Source organism: Homo sapiens, chromosome 5, assembly GCF_000001405.40.
Source record: "Homo sapiens chromosome 5, GRCh38.p14 Primary Assembly".
NCBI lineage: Eukaryota > Metazoa > Chordata > Mammalia > Primates > Hominidae > Homo > Homo sapiens.
The window spans coordinates 179,454,644-179,476,216 of NC_000005.10; the positions used below are offsets into that span (position 1 = coordinate 179,454,644).

At 49.5% G+C, this 21,573-nt stretch overlaps 3 annotated features.

The window, feature by feature from the left end:
- Window positions 13,582-14,306: an enhancer, noted in NCBI's record as "H3K27ac-H3K4me1 hESC enhancer chr5:178895226-178895950 (GRCh37/hg19 assembly coordinates)". NCBI's record gives its function as "activates a minimal SCP1, AML or CMV promoter by ChIP-STARR-seq in naive H9 embryonic stem cells {active_cell/tissue: H9 hESC(naive)}" and the evidence as "EXISTENCE:reporter gene assay evidence [ECO:0000049][PMID:30033119]".
- Window positions 17,741-18,242: an enhancer, noted in NCBI's record as "H3K4me1 hESC enhancer chr5:178899385-178899886 (GRCh37/hg19 assembly coordinates)". NCBI's record gives its function as "activates a minimal SCP1, AML or CMV promoter by ChIP-STARR-seq in naive H9 embryonic stem cells {active_cell/tissue: H9 hESC(naive)}" and the evidence as "EXISTENCE:reporter gene assay evidence [ECO:0000049][PMID:30033119]".
- Window positions 18,243-18,742: an enhancer, noted in NCBI's record as "H3K4me1 hESC enhancer chr5:178899887-178900386 (GRCh37/hg19 assembly coordinates)". NCBI's record gives its function as "activates a minimal SCP1, AML or CMV promoter by ChIP-STARR-seq in naive H9 embryonic stem cells {active_cell/tissue: H9 hESC(naive)}" and the evidence as "EXISTENCE:reporter gene assay evidence [ECO:0000049][PMID:30033119]".

Sequence of the window (21,573 nt, forward strand, 5' to 3'; positions counted from 1 at the left end):
CTTGGGTGCTGGGCTGCAGTTCCCCTGGGCCGGGAACTCTTCCCCACTCCGCCAGCTCCTTCACTCAGCTTGAGGATTTGCCCAGAAGGTCCCTTCTCAGTGATGCCCAACCTGACCACCCTGTTTCATACTGAAGCCTACCTCCTACTACCTCACCCCACTCTTCATCTTTCTTCCATAGCACCAATCATTTCCTAGCACATGAAGTAATGTATTGACTAATCACGCTTATAGTTCATTAGCTGTTCTCTCCTACTAAAATATGAGCCCCCTGAAGGCAGGGATCATTTTGATCCGTTTTGATCAGTGATGTGTCCCAAGTTCCTTGAATAATACTGTTACATAATAAGTACAGATGAGCTGAATGAATACACATGAAATGCCCCATGACCACTCTGCTTAGGAGCATTAGGTGAGTACAGCTCTGGGTCGAACTAACTTTCCAAGCTTGACTCTTAGGAGAGAGATTAGTAAGATGGGTATTTTTTTCCTTTTTATTTTTGTCTGGGACAGGATCTTGCTCCATTGCCCAGGCTGGAGTGCAGTGGCGCAATTATAGCTCACTGCAGCCTTCACCTCCTGGGATCAAGCTATCCTCCCACTTCATCCTCCCAATGTATGGGATTACTGACAGGAGCCATTGCTCCCGGCAGGACGGGTATTTTTCAAGAATCTTCTAGTTTAACGTGTCCTAATGCAAGATGATGTAACAAGCCTTTATTGGCTCAGGCAATAAAGAGGAATTAGCTGCAGGCATGGGCGGATCCATTCAAGCAGATGCTGTGGTCACGGGTTGAGCTCTTTCCTGCTGCCTTGAGCCTGAGGCAGGCTATTCTTCCTGTGCGGCTCCACAGCTTCAGGCCAGCCCCCTCCCCGCTCAAATCCCTGAGGCAGAGCTCCTCTGAAGAAGACTTCCGATATTAGGTTGCCTGGGCCCAGCTTGAATCAGGCACCCCCAGCCGAGTCGCCCTCCAGGGGATGGAATACGGGACTCCCAGCCCCGGAAAACGGAGTCCGCCTGAGCCACGGGACTCGGATGGAAGGCAAGTGAAGCCTGATACCTCAGTGCAGATACGTGGCTGGCTTTGTTGCAGGATTTTCCTTAGTTTAGCTAAAGACGGGATCTTGTCCATCCCATGGCCATGAAAATTTAGGCTCACAGACGCTTTAAAGGGTGAGTAAAGCAATGTTTTATTGGGTGAAAAGGGAAAAAAGGAGGGTGGGTAACAGGGATTCTCCACAAGGCCAGAGTCTCCTGCTAGAGTGCTCCCTGCCCGCCCCATTCTAATCCCAGGTTCCACACAGGAAGAGGCGGTTCCCAGGTTCCACACAGGAAGAGGCGGTTCCCAGGTTCCACACAGGAAGAGGCGGTTCCCAGGTTCCACACAGGAAGAGGCGGTTCCCAGGTTCCACACAGGAAGAGACGCCCAGGTTCCACACAGGAAGAGGCGGTTCCCAGGTTCCACACAGGAAGAGGCGGTTCCCAGGTTCCACACAGGAAGAGGCGGTTCCCAGGTTCCACACAGGAAGAGACGCCCAGGTTCCACACAGGAAGAGGCGGTTCCCAGGTTCCACACAGGAAGAGGCGGTTCCCAGGTTCCACACAGGAAGAGGCGGGGCGAGGCTCCTCCCTGCTGCAAAGGTCACAAACCTCGAGGCTTCGTCTCAGCGGGCGGGCTGGTTCTCCAGGGACCCCCTCCCACCTGGCTGTCTCAACTTGAGCAGCTGTCCATGCTGGGGTGCCCGCCAGGGGTGTGGGAACCACTCCCAAGAGGCCTAGCAGTCCCAGCACTGACCAGGGTTGACCCGAGGAGTAACCTGCCTCCCCCGGAAAACCTGAGCTGTCTTCTTCCCACCTCAGTCACCACCCAGATGTGAAGTAATGCAAAAGGCTCAACGTGGTCAAAAGAGCCCCGTTAGCCAGAATCTAGCCTCGGTTGCAAAGCAGCTTAACATGCAACAGCTCCCTACACGTTCTCCTGACCCCACCCTCCACCAACCCCCAAAGGCAGAAGCCATGAAGTCAGGACAAAGAAGGGTGGTGGCCATGATATCCCATTGTTCTACAGGTACAGGACCACACAACGAGGACAAAATAAGACGTTTAAATATTCGAAAGAGCTGTCTCTACTATAATGTAGATGATACATTTATAAACCTGGAAAACTCACAAGAATGGACTGTGAAGGTATTAAAAATAATAAGATAATCTACTTGGGAGGCTGAGGCAGGAGAATCACTTGAACCAGGGAGTCGGAGGTTGCAGTGAGCCAAGATTGTGCCACTGGACTCCATCCTGGTAACAGAGCAAAAATAAACAAATATAATATAATATAATAATAAAATTATACTAAATGATGTGAAAGTTTTGGTTAAATAATATATTTTGTTTTTTAATACAATGTCAACACGAATTTTAAAAATATTATACCAGTTTTAGTACTGTTCTCCCAAAATTCAGGTCCTTCCTGTAACTTCAGAGTGTGGCTTTATTAGGAAACAGGGTCATTGCACATGTAATTTAAGATGTGGTCTTAGTACAGCAGGATGTGTCCTTAATCTGACACAACTGGTGTCCTCATAAGACAAGGACAAGAAACAGAGAAACACCAGGGAAGATGCTGTGTGAAGGTGGAGACACAGATTGGAGTGATGTGTCTGCAGGTCAGAAAACACCAAGGGTTGCCGGCAAAATCAGAAGCCAAGAGAAAGGCATGGACCAGATTCACCCCTAGGACCTTCAGAAAGACCATGGGCTTCCAGTACCTTCACGTTGGACTCCAGCCTCCAGAACTGTGAGAAAATACATTCTTACTGTCTTCAGACGCGCAGTTTGCGGTCATTTGTTACGGCAGTCTTAGCACACTAATAAGGATCTCAGTTCTTCCCATGTTGGCTACAAGGTTAATTCGATCCTGATCAAAGTCCTAAAAAGGTTTGTTTGGGTTTGAGGTTTTGTGCTTTGACTTGTTGTTCAGTTGGTTGGTTGGTTTTTTGTTTGGTTTAAGATAGTGTTTTCTATTTTTTTCCTCTTGTTTTTGCTTTTTTGGAAGGGTAAGAGACTTAAATGTCAACGTATCAGAATGAAAACAGAGTTAGATCCAGGAAATTTCTGAAAAAGAGAAGTAACAGAGCAGGACCAGCACTCCCTTCCAGGGAGTGGCCCCGCTGCTGAGAGGGAGGGCCCGGGACAGAAGACGGAGTTCCAAAATAGGCTAAGTATAAACGGGGATTTAGTACACAACGGGGGAGGAATGTCAAATCAGTGGGCAAACATAGATCTTTCTTTTTTTTTTTTTTTTTTTTGAGATGGAGTCTCACCCAGGCTGGAGTGCAGTGGCACGATATTGGCTCACTGCAAGCTCCGCCTCCCGGGTTCACGCCATTCTCCTGCCTCAGCCTCCCGAGTAGCTGGGACTACAGGCGCTCGCCACCATGTCTGGCTACTTTTTTTGTATTTTTAGTAGAGGCGGGGTTTCACCATGTTAGCCAGGATGGTGTCAATCTCCTGACCTGGTGATCCGCCCACCTCGGCTTCCCAAAGTGCTGGGATTACAAGCGTGAGCCACTGCGCCTGGCCAAACATAGATCTTTCAATAAAGAGCATTGAGAAGACTACAAAGTTGATTGGTTAATGATTTATTATTATTACTATTATTATTATTTGAGGTGGAGTTTTGCTCTTGTCGCCCAGACTGGAGTGCAGTGGCACAATCTAGGATCACTGCAACCTCCACCTCCTGGGTTCAAGCAATTCTCCTGCCTCACCCTCCCAAGTAGCTGGGATTACAGGTGCGTGCCACCACGCCTGACTAATTGTTGTATTTTTAGTGGAGATGGAGTTTCACCATGTTGGCCAGGCTGTGCTCGATCTCTCGACCTCAGGTGATCCATCTGCCTTGGCCTCCCAAAGTGCTGGGATTACAGGCGTGAGCCACAGTGCCTGGCCTATTATTATTATTAATGCCAGGTCACAGCTATACTCCTTTCACTCAAAGTCCTGATGGATCAAATTTTTAAAACTAAATGATTCAGACCAGGCATGGTGGCTCACGCCTGTAATCCCAGCACTTTGGGAGGCCAAGGCAGGCAGATCACAAGGTCAGGAGATCGAGACCATCCTGGTTAACACAGTGAAACCCTGTCTCTACTAAAAATACAAAAAAATTAGCCGGGTGTGGTGGCGGGTGCCTGTAGTCCCCTCTACTTGGGAGGCTGAGGCAGGAGAATGGTGTGAACCCAGGAGGTGGAGCTTGCAGTGAGCCGAGATCACGCCACTGCACTCCAGCCTGGGTGACAGAGCAAGACTCCGTCTCAAAAAAAAAAAAAAAAAAAAAGCTAAATGATTCAGAGATGTCCAATTCATGATGAGGGACCATATTTGTATCATATCCTTCACTCCCCAAATAGCTAAGAAATGGCCAGATAATACATCACTTTCGAGGGAATAAGTTCCCCCAGCTGCATGGGGATATGAGAATCATGCTCTTGGTGAGCCATATATTTTGAGGATTTCTGGAAAACAGCAAATTATATCAAACTTATAAGAGAAACCAGAGCAGAGGAAGTTTCATGTTAGAGGGAGGATTCATTTTTCCCACCAAATCTCCTTGGTGCCTCTTGCAAAGGGGTTCTCGACATCCCAACATACCTGAGTCCCAGGGCGTGTGCCGCTCATTCTCGGAGATGAAACCCAATACTCTAATAAGGAGAAAAATGACTAATGGAATAACCTTTCTGTTCATCCCCCTTTTGCAAAAATCATCCTCCTCTTGCGAAGATTTGGGGAAAATGAATCAAATGGAAATTCCTCAAATTCAAAGGCTTTTTATTGGTGTAGACCAACATCCCTTGTATAATACAATACATAAACCTGTGTAAAACACACTGACTTACACTCTCCGCACCCCCAGGACCACTTGCCATGTTTGCTCGTGGTTTGTTCAAACAAAGAAAATAAACCCCCGGGGATGCGCCCACTACTCGGACACTCCACAGAGGGGAGAAACCTGGTCCACTGGGTTTCAGGCAAAGCCCAAGTTTCCTTCCCCTTCTCCTCCCCCTACGAAAATTCCTTTCCAACAGTCCTCAGGCTTTTTGTAAGCTGTCCTCCAAAGCCCTTCCCCAGCGAGGACTATGGGGCTGAAATGTAATCATTGTGCTGAAGCATTGCTGAGTTTTACCGAGTCCTGCTGGTGCCCCAGCCGCTGAGTGTGTCCTTGGAGCTGGTTCTAGAAGTTGTGATGGATTTTCACTTATCACTTCCCCGGCCCCTCTTGGGCAGCCTGCAGAAACAGAGACTGCCCCGTGGCGCCGCACAGAACACCTTGTCCTTGGCTGCACAGTGGGAGAGCATGCTGTATATTCTTGAGAAACAGGGAATCTGTGTGCAAGCCGGGACCTCCTCCTCCTTTCCCCAACAGCGTCAGGAGGCAGCCCCCATGGGCAGCGAACCAGGGAATAAACACTGTGGATTACCAATGGGGAAGGAGCCTGGACCAGGCAACCCAAATACATGCACCCCTTGCTATTGTTAAAGCACCGTTGAAGTCCTGTTTTATATCCACCAAATTAGCAAAGAATAAGAAAGTTCTGGCCAGGACACAATGAAATTGGCACACACAGGCACACAGGGCTGCTGAGCACGGGCCTTCTCCCCAGAAGGCATAGAAACCAGTAACTCTCCAGTTTTCCCTTGGCAAGCTCAGGTCGTCTCTGTCATTTGGAACCCAGGAGTTCTGACTAAACAAGGACAGTGCACAGAGATGCTTACAACACCTGTGCAAGATTAGAGACCACCTCGGCTTACAGCACAAGACTAGCTAAAAAAATGTTGACATGTCAGCACAACAGAATAATACGAAGACTAATAGCAAAATGGAAAAACAGGCCGGGTGCGGTAGCTCACACCTGTAATCCCAGCACTTTGGGAGGCCAAGGCGGGCGGATCACCTGAAGTCAGGAATTCAAGACCAGCCTGGCCAACATAATGAAACCCTGTCTCTACTAAAAATACAAAAAATTACCTGGACGTCGTGGCACATGCCTGTAATCTCAACTACTCAGAAGGCTGAGGCAGGAGAATGGCTTGAACCCAGGAGGTGGAGGTTGCAGTGAGCCAAGATCGCGCCATTGCACTCCAGCCTGGGCGACAGAGTGAGACTCTGCCTCAAAAAAAAGAAAAGAAAAATGGAAAAACAAACCACACAGGATTCCCAGTTAAGGGAAAGCAGAGCCCTGAAGGATCCCGTCCGGTGCTTCCGGCTATAGAAAAGGAGCCACATGGGTAGGCCAAGATGGTCCAGATGGCAGGTGTTCACTGCACGCTACCCTGTGCCAGGTCTGGTGCTCCATGGCTCACCTGTGTTGTCACGTGTCACATTCACTCTCATTCTGAGGCAGGTGCATTTTGCAAAGGAAGACACTGAGGCATCAAGCAGTCCATCGCTTGACCATGGTCAAGAAGGGGGTCCCAAACCCAGGCTGCGGGCCCCAAGCCAAAGCTCCAAAGGCAGCAGGAAAGGGAACAGCAGTCATGGAAAAGGGGAGGTGGTTTAGGGGCTTTTTATTTGTTGGTTTGGTTTCAAATTTCATCTTGAGTTTTTCCATTATCTTTTCCAATTAAAAGAAAATCCACAAGAAATCTGTGAAAGGGGCCAGGCATGGTGGCTTATGCCTGTAATCCCAGCACTTTGGGAGGCCAACGCGGGTGGATCACCTGAAGTCGGGAGTTTGAGACCAGCCTGGCCAACATGGTGAAACACCATCTCTACTGAAAATACAGAAATTAGCCGGGCGTGGTGGCACTCGCCTGTAATCCCAGCTACTGAGGAGGCTGAGGCAGGAGAATCGCTTGAGCCCAGGAGGCGGAGGTTGCAGTGAGCCAAGATTGTGCCACTGCACTCTAGCCTGGGCGACAGAGCAAGACTCTGTCTCAAAAAAAAAAAAAAAAAAAAGACATCTGTAAAAGGATCAGCACCCAGCCCCCACTTGAGGACACCTACCCGATGGCTCGTCTGCCATGCTGGGACCCTCCACCCTGATCCCCTACACCATTCAAGACTGAGTTCCCAAATGCACCTCCCCAGGGCGGTGATGGGGTCCAGCTTTGTGTCCACATCCCAGCACCTGGCATGGGGCCAGGCAGCAGTGACACTCAGGCCCTGTTGGTTGGATTCATTGATTCAGTAATTAGCAGCCTGAGGCCAGGGGACAGAGGCCATTCTCACTCCAGGACCTCCCTCCTCCCTGGGATGTCCTGGGGAATCTCTCCTGGGCCCTGGGCCCACCCTCCACACCCCATTGATTAGGCCTTCCATAGAACTCTCAAATCCACTCCCTCCACCCCATGCCTGGCACCGCCGTCCCGGTTCAGCCCTGGTTTCAGCCGCATACTCCTGTTCCAGGACCAGCTGTCTAAAGGGTAAGTGTTCTGCTCTCCCTATCCCGTTCCAGTTGTTCACAGGCTCACTGCGGCCTCCAGAGAAAATCCTGACGTCACGGCCTGTTGTCCCTGCTGTCCCCACAGTCCCTGTCTGCCACCCTCCCCCCACCACGCCCACACTGCAGGCTGCCATCAGCACACCGGGTCCCAAATACACCACGTGTGCTTCCTCACACCCCTGGACCACACTGCTCTCCAGCCCGGCACGCCTTCTACACTGTCTGGTGAGTTCCTTTTTAAATAAAAGCTTTATTGAGGCTGGGGGCGGTGGCTCACGCCTGTAATCCCAGCCCTTTGGGAGGCCAAGGCGAGTGGATCACAAAGTCAAGAGATGGAGACCATCCTGGCCAACATGGTGAAGCCCCGTCTCTACTGAAAACACAAAAATTAGCTGGGCACAGTGGTGCGTGCCTGGAGTCTCAGCTACTCGGGAGGCTGAGGCAGGAGAATTGCTTGAACCCAGGAGGTGGAGGCTGCAGTGAGCGGAGATCGCACCACTGCACTCCAGCGTGGTGACAGAGTGAGACTCTGTCTCAAAAACAAAACAAAACAAAACAAAAAACCTTTACTGAGATACAATTCATATACCATAAAACTCACCATTTCACACCATTTTAACGTGTAAATTCAATGGTTTTTAGTATATTCGCCATCACCATAACCATCACAATTTTAGAACTTTTTTTTTTACTATTTAGACAGAGTCTCCTGTCTCCAGAGCCTGTTGCCCAGACTAGAGTGCAGTGGCAGGATCTCAGCCCACTGCAACCTCTGCTTCTCGGGCTCAAGCAATTCTCGTGCCTCAACCTCCTGAGTAGCTGGAATGACAGGAGTGAACCACAATACCTGGCTAATTTTTGTATTTTTTTTTTTTTTAGTAGAGACAGGGTTTCACCATGTTGGCCAGGCTGGTCTTGAACTCCTGACCTAAAGAGATCCACCCGCCTCGGCCTCCCCAAGTGCTGGGATTACAAGCGTGAGCCACCACACCAGACCCAGAACACTTTCATTACCCCCTAAAAACCCTATGTCCCATTAGCCCTCACCCCTCTGTCCCTCCCCATTCACCCTTTGGCCCTAGGCAACCTGTAAGCCACTTTCTGGCTCTATGAATTTGCCTCCCGTGGGCGATTCATATAAATGGAATCATATCACTGGTCTTTTCAGGCTGGCTTCTTATTCACTTGGCATGTTTTGAAGATTCATCCATGTTGTAGTATGTGTCATGTGGCTATAGCACCTCTTGTTCCATTCAGCCAGTTGATGGATTTGAACGTTGTTTTTCTTGTTCGACTATCATGACTAACACTGCTATGAACATTCATGTACAAGTTTTTTTTTTTTGCGAATTTTTTTTTTTTTGAGACAGAGTCTCGCTCTGTTGCCCAGGCTGGAGTGCAATGGCGCGATCTCAGCTCACTGCAAGCTCCCCCTCCCGGGTTCACGCCATTCTACTGCCTCAGCTTCCCGAGTAGCTGGGATTACAGGCACCTGCCACCATGCCCAGCCAATTTTTTGTGTTTTTAGTAGACACGGGGTTTCACCATGTTAGCCAGGATGGGCTCGATCTCCTGACCTCGTGATCCACCAGCCTCAGCCTCCCAAAGTGCTGGGATTACAGACGTGAGCCACCACGCCCCCGCAAAAATTTTTTGTTATTGTTGTTGGGTATACACCGAAAAGCAATATTGCTGGGTAACATGGTCGCTTTATGTTTAACCTTTTGAAGAACTGCTGGGCTGTTTTCCAAAACATCAGCACAGTTGTAGATTCCTATCAGCAGTGTAAGAGGGTTTCAATGTATCCACATTCTTGCTAACACTTGCTATTATCTGACTTTTTTATTGTAACCATGCCGCTGGGTGTGAAGTGGTGTCTCTCTATGGTTTTGATTTATAATTCCAAGATGGTTAATGATGTTGAGCATCTTTATATGTGCCTATTAGCCATTCATATATTTTTTGAAGAAATTTCCATTCTGATCATATGCCCATTCTTAATTGGCTTGTCTTTTCTTATTGAGTTGTAAGGGTTCTTTTTATATTCTGTATACAAGACCTTTATCAGATATGCAAATATTTTTACTTTTTCTGATGGTGTCATTTGCAATGAATGGGAGAAGTTCCCTTGCTCCCCTCACAGGGGTGTGGCTCACTTCTTTGGTGCCCCACTGCTCAAACCCCTAGTGGGAGCATGCAAATGGGCAGGTCGTGGGGAGCACTTTTGGGCTCCGACCCCACAACAGCGACTAGAGTTGAGTGTTTACAGCTCCCGAAGCCCCAGTGGGTGTGTGTTAGTGTGCTCTTTCAGCTTTGCCATCTGCAGGTGGCTTGTGTTAATCAGCTCAATTAGACCCTCTGCCTTATCACAAGGACAGAGGGTTTTCTGTATCCCGGATTCTTGCCCTGGTGTACCAGAAAAATTGGATCACATGTGGGCTTGGAGAATGACTGCAAGGTTTTATTGAGTGGTGGAAGTAGCTGTCAGTGAGATGGATGGGGAGCCAGAAGGGGAATGGAGTGGGAAGGTGGTCTTCCCCTGGAGTTGAGCTGCCCAGCAGCCGGACTCTCCTCCGACCACCCCTAACTGAATTCCACGTCGTCCCGCTGTTGATGGCCTGCCAACGTCTGCTGGTGTCTGTCGATGTGCTCTTCTGGTCCTCTGCTCCTCTCAGTGTCCAGCCACTTGTGTGTGTGCCCACTAGGGTCTCAGAGTTTTTATGGGCCCAGGATGGGGGGTGTGATGGGCCAAAAGGCAACTTTTGGGGCACGAAAACAGAAATGCTTGTCCTCACATAGGTCCGTGGGCACAGGCCTGAGGGTGGAAGCCTCGCCAGGGACCCAGCCCTTCTCTACCCAGCACTTCCCTGCCCTGTTCCCATATCAGCAACACAAAAGTTTTTAATTTTGACAAAGTCCAATTTATCTATTATTTCCTTTCATTGCTGAGTACACACAGAAGCAAGTGCACAATGGAAATTTTTTCAATTTTTATTTTGTAGAAATGGGGTTCCACAATGTTGCCCAGGCTGGCCTCGAACCCAAAGTGCTAGAATTACAACATGAGCCATCATGCCCAGCCTGTTTTTCATCTTTTTTCTAGCTTTACTGATTTGTGTTGCCTGTGCTGTTGGTGTCAATCTGCTTATGTGCCATAGGTCTATTAGAATTTTCTATTTCTTCTTGAGTCAGTTTCAGTAGTTTGTCTCCATCTATGAATTGTTCATTTTATCTAAGTTATCTAATTTCTCAGCAAATACTTGTCCAGATATTCCTTTGTAATCCTTTGTATTTCTGTAAGTGATGCCCCTTCTCTCTTTTTTTTTTTTTTTTTTTTTTTTTTTTTTTAGACAGAGTCTTGCTCTGTCACCCAGGCTGGAGTGCAGTGGCACAATCTCGGCTCTCTGCAAGCTCCACTTCCCAGGTTCATGCCATTCTCCTGCCTCAGCCTCCTGAGTAGCTGGGACTACAGGCGCCCACCACCACGCCTGGCTAATTTTTTTGTATTTTTTTAGTAGAGACGGGGTTTCACCGTGCTAGCCAGGATGGTCTTGATCTCCTGGCCTTGTGATCTGCCCACCTCGGCCTCCCAAAGTGCTGGGATTACAGGCATGAGCCACCACGCCCGGCTGCCCCTTCTCTTTTTTTAAAGCTTGAGTCTTTTCCTTTGTTCATCAGTTTTCAAAATAATGACTGGCTCCCTACCACCTCCCTAGGTGTGTGACACACTGCATTCTGGTTATCTGCTACTGTACAACTAATCACCCCAATGTCAGCAACTTAGACAACAACTGTCATTATGGTTTTTATGGTTTTGTGGGCCAAGAATGCAGCAAGGCCCTGCTGAGCATTGTTCTGCTCCTCATCGCACCGACTGAGGTCACTGGATGGTTTTTCACCAGCAGATGAATGGTCTCGGACCCCAGAAGGCTTTATTCACCTGGCTGGCACATTGATGGGCATGACGGGAAGGCCAGATGCAGCTGCACTGCCACACAGCGCCCACCCGCAGCCACTGAAGCATGAGGGCCTTGGGACAGGCACCTTCCCACAGGGCAATTCAGGGTGTCTGCAGGCTTCCAACAGAGGAAGTGGAAGCTGCTAGTTTCTTAAGGCCTGGGCCCACACATGTCTCATTTTTGCTGTATTCTACCAGTCAAAGCAGTCAATGAGCCCACCCACATTCATGAGGATGGGGACAAAGGCCCCACCATTGGAAGGAAGACTATCAAAAACTCTGGGGCCATCTTTAATCTGCCACAAATTGGGTGTGCTGCTTTGGGCTTTTGTATTTTTTTTATGAACATGGATTCAAACACATATGATGAGTTTCAGTCCATTGCAGTTATTATTACTGATGCTCAAATTGACCCCATTTGGGGCAGGAGGAACTCTTCAAGTGGCCCCTGAGCCTTATTAATGTTGACCTCGTGATCCTCAGTAATGTCCTTGCTTTGGGGTACAACAAGCTGTTCCCAGCTCACCTTGCACTCGTTTTCCTTAGGCTGGAATTGATCATTTCCCCTAGATGCAAAGGACTCAGTAAGAATACCAATCCTCCCCAGCCGGGCGTGGTGGCTCACGCCTGTAATCTCAGCACTTTGGGAGGCCAAGGCAGGTGGATCACAAGGTCAGGAGATTGAGACCATCCTGGCTAACACAGTGAAACCCTGTCTCTACTAAAGTACAAAAAATTAGCCACGCGTGGTGGCAGGGGCCTGTGGTCCCAGCTACTCGGGAGGCTGAGGCAGGAGAATGGCGTGAACCCGGAAGGCAGAGCTTGCAGTGAGCCAAGATTACGCCACTGCACTCCAGCCTGGGGGACAGAGCGAGACTCCGTCTCAAAAAAAAAAAAAAAAAATTAATTCCAATCCTCCCTTTCTGTCACTTGGACCTATCCTCTCCACTGCTGTGGCCCAGGCTGGAGTGCAATGGCATGATCTCAGCTCACTGCAACCTCCGCCTCCCTGGTTCAAGTGATTCTCCTGCCTTAGCCTCCCCAGCAACTGGGATTACAGGCGCCCGTCACCACGCCCAGCTAATTTTTTTGTATTTTTAGTAGAGACGGTTGTTTCACCATGTTGGCCAGACTGGTCTCAAACTCCCAACCTTCAGGTGATTCACCCACCTCGGCCTCCCAAAGTGCTGGGATTACCACGCTCAGCCCTATCCTCTCTTTTCAAAGTTATTGATCAACACTGACTTCTCGGTATCAGTGACCTGTTTAACTTTTCCTACCTTAACCCTAGGTACCTGTGGAGCCGCTGGGAACACCCACGTGCTCTTCGGGGTCACTGACTCTTGCCTCTGGCTCTTACCTGATGCCTGATTGTTTTACTGTCACTTTCGCCAGTCAGCTCTGAGCACTGAGGACCGATTGTCCCCAGCCCTCCCTCCAGGCCTTGCTGTCCCCCTTTGCCTAGGAAGTTCGTATTCATCATCTAAAATCCATCTAATACTGACCCAGTTCACCACCTTCCCAACACGCCCACACGTGCCTTCCCCACTGTGTTCTGCATTCGCTGTCCACCGCGGTCACGCTGTCACCCGGGCACCTGGTCACCCTGTCACAGCCTGCATGCTTCCATGTCAGGAATCTGTGAGCTCGCCAGAGGTCAGGACCTCACCCTTCATCTCAGTGCCCAGTTGCTGGGGCAAGGCTAGCCCAACTGTCACTGAACTACATGAGTCTCTGTTGGCATCAAAGAAGGGGGCGCCCTTGGCTTTCTCTGGCACCCCCTTCTTTGATACCTAGGAGGCAAAAAGTGGGAGCAGGCAGGAGGGAACATGAGCTGGGAACTGGTAAGGGAATGCCTTTCCAAATGCAGTGGCCCACCAAGCCTTCCTATGGGGTAATGAGTTCACTCTAGACCGTGTGAATTAACTGCTAAGCAACCAGGGTGCGTGAAAGGTTCTGGGGCGCCCCACACCATTAGCTACTCATGAAGTGCTTTGTGTGCCCACTTCTTTCTCCACAGGTATTTGGCATGAGTGACTTAACTGATAAGGTTTGAAAGTTAAAACCAGTTCCCACTAAGGCAGCCCCGGGGTCCTCTGGACACTATCGCCAACCATCTGAGTCTGTAACAAACACCCAGCACCGAACAAAGCACGTCAGGGCCGCTCCAGTGGGGCTGGGCGGTTTTATGGGATCCATTCGCTAATTAAAATTCACTCTTCCAGGCAGCTGTGATCTTTGGTGTCTTATGCACTTGAAAAATATATCTTGACATTTAAGCCATGCTTGCTGGGATGGTGTGAGTAGCAGCGATAAGCCACAAATTCCAATCAGTGTAAAAATGCTAAATTCCGTGTTGGGGCTTGATTTGAAGGGCAAGGGCACCCGAATTCCTACAGTTTGTCCCACTCCATCAGCACCCACAGAGACAAGCCTCTTCCTGTTCTCGGGATGACACAGACGCCCACCCGAGGCCACTGCCCACTCCTGAAATTTCAGGCTGCGATAACAACAAACTACATTTTCGCTCTGGACAATTTTGGGTGCTGTTATTGGCCAGTTGGTGTCTGCACAGCAGATAGTTCAGGTTCTGGGCCACACAAGGTCACGAGCCTGGGTGAGCAGAGCCTCCACCCCTGCCCCAGCTCAGCTCCCAGCCCATGGTGGATCCAGCCATCATCTCTGCCCAGGGTCGCTAAACAGGATCCAAGAGCCTGGGGGGAGTAGGAAGGCGCCCGGCTTATTGCGGAATCCCTGCTCCCAGACATCCCCATCCTGGGAGCCTAGCCTCTGAGGCACACAGGGGGATCTCCCCAAGGCCCCTCCCACTCTCTCCCAGGTCCCCAGCGGGGGTACCCATGGCAGGGCAGGATGCTCCGAAAACCCAGCAGGCCTCTTCTATCCGAAGGCCCAAGCCATGCATCTCTGACCAGGGTGACTTTGAAAGGTGTCTGAGGTGTGGGCCCCAAACACCCTCCCACTTCATGCCTTGGCAGGAGCTGCTCTATGAGGCCGGAATGACCCCCACTCTCTGCCCCACCCCTCACCTGCACCACACCAGCCAAGGAAGGTCAGCCACCTAAGCTCTGGGGACCCTGTGTTGCTAATGCAGACAGTCCCTACAGACTCCCCCACACTGCTGTGGTCTGCCATGGCCTGTCCCTGCCCGTTGTAGGGAAAGCCACGTTCTATCATGAAGTGGGGGCGAGGCTGGGGATGGGAGCATAGGGAGACCTGCCCTGGGGGTCAGGAAGACCCCCCACTGGCCCCTGGGTCACACCAGGTTCAGAGCAAAGGGTGGGATAGGGAGTGGGCATCAAGGAGCTTAGGTGGTCTTCTCAGGGTGGAGAGGTTGCCCAGGGAAATGCTCTCTTTCTTCCTTTTGTTTCCTCTAGGAGATTTGTTCAAGGTGGAGGCAGGGCAAGCCCAGGCATGGGACGGGGCCTCTCCAGAGGAGAGAGACGCTGGACAAGCAGGGCCCTGGGGTGGGTGGGGCGCGTGCAGCTCAGGCCACTTCCTACATGTGCTGTGGGTCCCCTCTCTCACCTGCCCTGAGGTTTGTTTTGTTAACAATGTAGATGCTTTGCCTCTCTTAGTGCGTTCAGCTGTCATCACAGAATACCATAGACTGGGTGCTTATCAACGACAGAAATTTCTTTCTTGCAATTCTGGAGGCTGGGAGCCCGAAATCAAGTGCTGGCAAATTCAGCGTCTGGTGAGGGCTGCTTCCTGGTTCATAGATAGCCCCTAGCCCTATTCATGAGGGCTCTGCCCTCATCACTCCCCAAAGGTCCCTCCCACCCCCGATACCATCACGTTGGTGACTAGACTTCAGTATATGAAGCTGGGGGTGACACCAACATTCAGACCATAGGATTACGCATTGGCAAAATAAAATTCTTCTTAAAAATACATGTGGAAGGCCGGCCGCGGTGGCTCATGCCTGTAATCCCAGCACTTTGGGAGGCCGAGGCAGGCGGATCACGAGGTCAGGAGATCGAGACCATCTTGGCTAACACAGTGAAACCCCGTCTCTACTAAAAATACAAAAAATTAGCCGGGTGTAGTGACGGGCGCCTGTAGTCCCAGCTACTCAGGAGGCTGAGGCAGGAGAATGGCGTGAACCCAGGAGGCGGAGCTTGCAGTGAGCCAAGGTGGTGCCACTGCACTCCAGCCTGAGTGACAGAGCAAGACTCCATCTCAAAAAAAAAAAAAAAAAACACGTGGAAGCATGAGGCAGAAGCATCCCCAGCCAGCTGCTGCGTCCATTATCACCCTCCGACCCAGCAGGCACGGCTGGTGCCCCCCTGCTCTGTGAGTGGGACCAGGTGTCATCGGAGACACCTGTTGGGGGACACAGAGGCCTTGGGCCGGGTCAGCGCCGCCAGCTGCTCCTTGGGGAAGGCAGGATGAGGGGCCGGCTTTTAAGATGGTGGCTGCTGGGGAGCTGCCTACACGCTCTGTTTAATATTCTCTTTAACTCGACACCTTCTGACACCATGCTGGAGGCTGATGAAGGGGAAATCTGACAGGAGCTATAGGGTGGGTCTGAGATGTCAGTCCGTGCTCCGCCGTCTCTCTCCTCTGTTGCCACATTTGGGTTGGACCTGAGGCCATCGAAACTGGGACCTTTAGAAGTCCCTTGCAGAACGCTTGCTAGCTTTATTGTTAGGCACCCTATACTTTTTGTTACTTTGGTAAATTGATTTTTTCATTGCTTTTTGGAATGTAGAAAGGCAATTGATTTTTGTTTATTGATCAACCAACTAGCTCAACCACCCTATTAATTCTGTCATCTGTCTGCAAGTTTGGGGGAGGTTCTATTTATATGATCATATCATTAGACAGTGATTACAGTTTGCTTTCCCTTCTTCTCATTCTCAAACATTGAGTTTCTTTTTCTTCTCTGTCTGCACTGTCTGGGGCCCTCAGGACAATCTCCAGTGGAAACAGCGTGCTGGGCATCTGATTGTATTCCTGACTGGCTGAGGATGACGACTAGTATGTCACTGTCAAATGTGACGTTTCCCATAGATTGTTAGTGTATATCTTCTTTCACTTCAGATTTGCTAAGAGTTTGAGTTTTTTTCCAATCATGAGTGGTTTTTACATTTTATCAATTTATTTTCATGCATCTATTAAGAATATAATCTGCTCTTGACCAGGCACGGTGGCTCACGCCTGTAATCCCAGCACTTTGGGAGGCCGAGGCCGGCGGATCACAAGGTCAGGAGATCGAGACCATCCTGGCTGACACGGTGAAACCCCACCTCTACTAAAAATAAAAAAAAAATTAGCCGGGCGAGGTGGCGGGCGCCTGTAGTCCCAGCTACTCGGGAGGCTGAGGCAGGAGAATGGCGTGAACCCAAGAGGAGGAGCTTGCAGTGAGCCGAGATCGCGCCACTGCACTCCAGCCTGAGTGACAGAGCGAGACTCCGTCTCAAAAAAAAAAAAAAAGAATATCATCTGCTCTCTTTTCCCTGTGCCTATTAATATGGTGACTTCACAGGTCAATTTTCTAATGTTAAATCAACCTTGAGTTTCTGGAACATAACAACCTGGACGTGACCTGTTATATTTCTTTTTTTTTTCAAGATGGAGTCCTGCCCTGTCGCCCAGGCTGGAGTGCAGCGGTGCGATCTCGGCTCACTACGACTTCTGCCTCCCAGGTTCAAGGGATTCTCCTGCCTCAGCCTCCTGAGTAGCTGGGACTACAGGCATGTGCCACCACGCCCGGCTAATTTTTGTATTTTTAGTAGAGACGGGGTTTCACCATGTTGGCCAGGCTGGTCTCTAACTCCTGACCTCAGGTGATCCGCCCGCCTCGGCCTCCCAAAGTTCTGGGATTACAGGTGTGAGCCACCGCGCCCGGCCTGAACTCTTATACTACTATGTGTTTTGCCTGGATTTGATTTGCGCAATATTTTACCTAGAGGGTTTTCACATCCATGTTCATAAGTAGATTGGCCTGTAATGACTTTTCTCCCAATTTTCTCTTTTTCGAACTATAAAAAGAATTGGAGAATGTTTCCTCTTTGTCTCCAGAACACTTTATATATAAAACCAAAACCATCTTCTCCTTTAAAGAGGTCTTAAACTTACCTCGGTCTGTTTCTTTTGTGAAAGATTGTTTATTAATAATCTAATTTCTTTAAATTTTATCAGACTCTTCATTCAGGTTTTCTATTTATCCTTAAGCTGGTTTTTATTAATTGTATTTTCTAGGTGTTTTAGACAGTTTTGAGTTTATGAGCATCAGGTTGAAATGGGGAAGGTTCCCTTGTCCTCCTCACAGGGCATGTGACAGGGGGTGTGGCTCGCTTCTTCAGGGCCCCACTGCTCAAGCCTCTAGGAGAGCATACAGACAGGCAGCGTCTGGGGGTGAATGTTCACAGCACCTGAAGCCCCAGTGGGCGTGGGCTGCATGTGCTCTTTTAGGTGTTCCATCTATAGGCGGCTTGTGTTAACCAGCTCAATTAGACCCTTTACCTTGTTGCAAGGACAAAGGGCTTTCTGTGTCCCAGGTGTGTACCAGGTGCCTTGGTGTCCCGGAAGAATCGGACCACACGTGGGCTTGGAGAATGAGTGCGAGGTTTTATTGAGTGGAAGTAGCTGTCAGAAGATGGCAAAGCCAGAAGGGAGATGGTTTTCCCCTGGAGTCAGCCACTCAGCGGCTGGACTCTTCTCCGACCACTTCAGCCAAACTCCATGTCATTCCCCCGGTCAATGGCCTGCCGGCGTGCCGGCCTCTGCCTGTGCCTATGGGCGTGCTCTTCAACCCATGTGCTCCTGTCAACGTCCAGCCGCCCGTGTGTTCCTCTGCTGACGTGCTTCTCTGTCCAGCCACCTGCGTGTCTGCCCGCTAGGGTCTCGGGTTTCTATAGGCACAGGATAGGGACGTGGCCGGCCAGGGTAGTCTTGGAAAATGCAATATATGGGCAGGAAAACAAAAATGCCTGTCCTCACCTAGGTCCGTGGGCGCAGGCCTGGGGGTGGAGCCCTAGCCAGGGACCGTGCCCTTCCCTTCCCAGCACTTCTGTATCAAAGCCATAGTACTTTTTACTGTCATTTTAATCTTTGCTGTACCTGAGATGTATCTTCTTTTTCACTCCTGAAAGTTTTGGGGTGTATGTGTGCCTTACTTCTTTTCTTACAGCTTTATTGAGATATATTCCACATACCATAAAATTCACCCATGTGAAGCATACAGTTTAATGATTTTTAGAATATTCACAGTGGTACAACCAACACCACCATCTAATTTTAGAACATTTTCAGCATCCTTAAAAGAAATCCCAGCGACATCAACAGCCACTCCCTTCTGTTTCATTCTCCACCTGAGACTTTTTTTTTTTTATTAGACAGAGTCTCACACTGTCACCTAGGCTGGAGTGCTGTGGCGTGATCTCGGCTCACTGCAACCTCCGCCTCCCGGGTTCAAGCGATTCTCCTGCCTCAGCCTCCCGAGTAGCTGGGGCTACAGGCACCCATCACCATGCCCAGATAATTTTTGTATTTTTAGTAGAGATGGGGTTTCACCATGTTGGCCAGGATGGTCTCAATCTCTTGACCTCGTGATCTGCCCGCCTCGGCCTCCCAAAGTGCTGGGCTTACAGGCATGAGCCACCAGTGCCGGGCCGAGATTGGCTTTTAATTTGTTGCATGTTTGCATGGTTCAAAAGTCAAAATGACATGATGAGGCATAAAATAAGTATAGGCTGGGCACGGTGGCTCACACGTATAACCTCAACACTTTGGGAGATCAAGGCAGGAGGATCACTTGAGGCCAAGAGTTCAAGACCAGCTTAGGCAACATAGCGAAGCCCCATCTCTACAATTTTTAATTAAACTTAGCCAGGCATAGTGCCGTGTGCCTGTATTTAGCCGGGCATAGTGGTGTGTGCCTGTATTCCCAGCTACTCGAGAGGCTGAGGCAAGAGGACTGCTTAAGCCCAGAAGTTCGAGGCTGCAGTGAGCCATGATCACACCATTGCACCTCCAGCCTGGGCAAGAGTGCAAGACTGTGTCTCTAAAAAATTAAAAATTAAAATGGGGTATAAAACTATACAAAAAAAATTCTAACTCCCATCTTCATCTTCCCCACAATTGTCTCTCTCACACTCACATAACCATTTTTATTCATTTTCTGTTTATTTTTCTGTATTTCTTTATACAACTACAACAAGGAAATGCAAATATATTTATTCCTATTTTCCACTCTTTTCTTACAGAAAGGTAACATCATTGATACAGTATCTTGCACCTTCTTTTTTTTCTTACTATATCCTGAAGTAGCTCCTTATTCTTTCTTCCAGTTGTGTTTCATGTTTATTCAGCCAGCTCCCCATGGGCAGGCCCTTGGCTTGTTTCCAAGCTTTTACCATTACAAACAGTGCTGTAGTGTATAACCTCGTTCATGGGTCATTTTATACTCGTGAATATCTGTCTGTAGAATAGATTTTCAGAGGTAGGATTGCTGGGTCAAAGGATAAATACATTTTTTTGTTTGTTTGTTTGTTTTTTGTTTTTTTTGAGACGGAGTCTTGCTCTGTCGCCCAGGCTGGAGTGCAGTGGCACCATCTCAGCTCACTGCAAGCTCCGCTTCCCGGGTTCACGCCATTCTCCTGCCTCACCCTCCTGAGTAGCTAGGAATACAGGTGCCCGCCACCATGCCTGGCTAATTTTTTGTATTTTTAGTTGAGACGGGGTTTCACTGTGTTAGCGAGGATGGTCTCGATCTCCTGACCTCGTGATCCACCCGCCTCGGCCTCCCAAAGTGCTGGGATTACAGGCATGAGCCATCGCGCCCGGCCAATACATTTGTATTTTTTATAAGCAATGCCAAACTGCTCTCCATAAGGTTTGTACAATTTTGTATTCTCCACAACCAAACCTGTTTCCTCACAGCCACACCAACGATGTATTTTACAATTTTGGATTTTTGCCAAATTGAATTGCGCAAAATGATGTCTAAGGGCAATTTAATTTGCATTTCTCTTATTACAACTGGGGTTGAGCATCTCTTGATGTTTAAGGATCATTTGCATTTCATTCTGTATGAACTATTTCTTTCTTTTGCCCATTTTTTCTTTGTAGTCCTTGGTCTCTTTCTTAGGAAAGTAAAAGCTATCTTTATCTATTACTGCATGACAAACTACCTCAAAACCTAATGGCTTAAAGCGACATAATTTATTATTCCTCAGGATTCTGCGGGTCGAGTGGGCACAGCTGGGTGGCTCTTGCTCTACTTGCTACCAGCTGGGCTTACTCACTCGGCTACATTTGGCCGGCAGCTTGGCTGAGCTGGATGGTCCACCAAGCCTTCACTCACTTGTCGAGTGCCTTTGTGCTCGTCTGCATAGCCACGTCACCTCGGCTGGGGCCTCCTCACAGCGTGGTGGTCTCAGGGAAGTCAGCCTTCTTACATAGCAGCTGGCTTTCAAGAGGGAGGAAACAGAAGCTGCCAGTCCTCTTAAGGCCTGGATTCCAACGTCAGGAAATGTCACTTCTGCATTCCTTTGGTCATAGAAAGTCACAAGGTCAGCCCAGATTTAAGGAATAGGAAATAGACCCCACCTCTGGGTGGGAGAAGTGGTGTGGGCTGCAGGGAAGGAACGCACTGGTGGCCGTCGGGGCCAAAGACCGGGGATAGACGGGGAGAGCGGGGGCAGCCGCTGGCATCACCGTGAGCCTGTCTTAGCCCTTGGGGGCATCGTGAGGTTGGATTCTTTAAAGACAGGGCTCCGAGGGTTGGGAATCTTGAGGGCTATAACAATACTAAAAACTGAGGACACGCATACATTTCGTTGTGATTTTCGGTGGAGGAACTTAGTGAAGGTGGTGTTACGGGGTCGGGGAGAAAATGTAAAAGCTTGGCCGTGGGTGGGTTGGGGCCGACCCTTTCTCCCACCGGTTTATGGCTGGAGAAGGTGGGAGATGTCAACTCCATTTAGGGGACTGGAGGGACCTGGACAGTTTTGAAGGGGAATTTGAGAGTTGAATTTGAGTGTGCGCTTGTAAAGGACTCAACCCTGCCAGTCGCGGTTCAAGATCAGGGTTGGCTGTAGGTGGGAGGCCGTGCAGTTCCTGGGAAAGCTAACTCACCGCGGTGTCTTTTCTGTCTCACGCCGAGAAGAGCCCTGTTTGTGCTCCGCTACTGCCTGGAGTCTCCA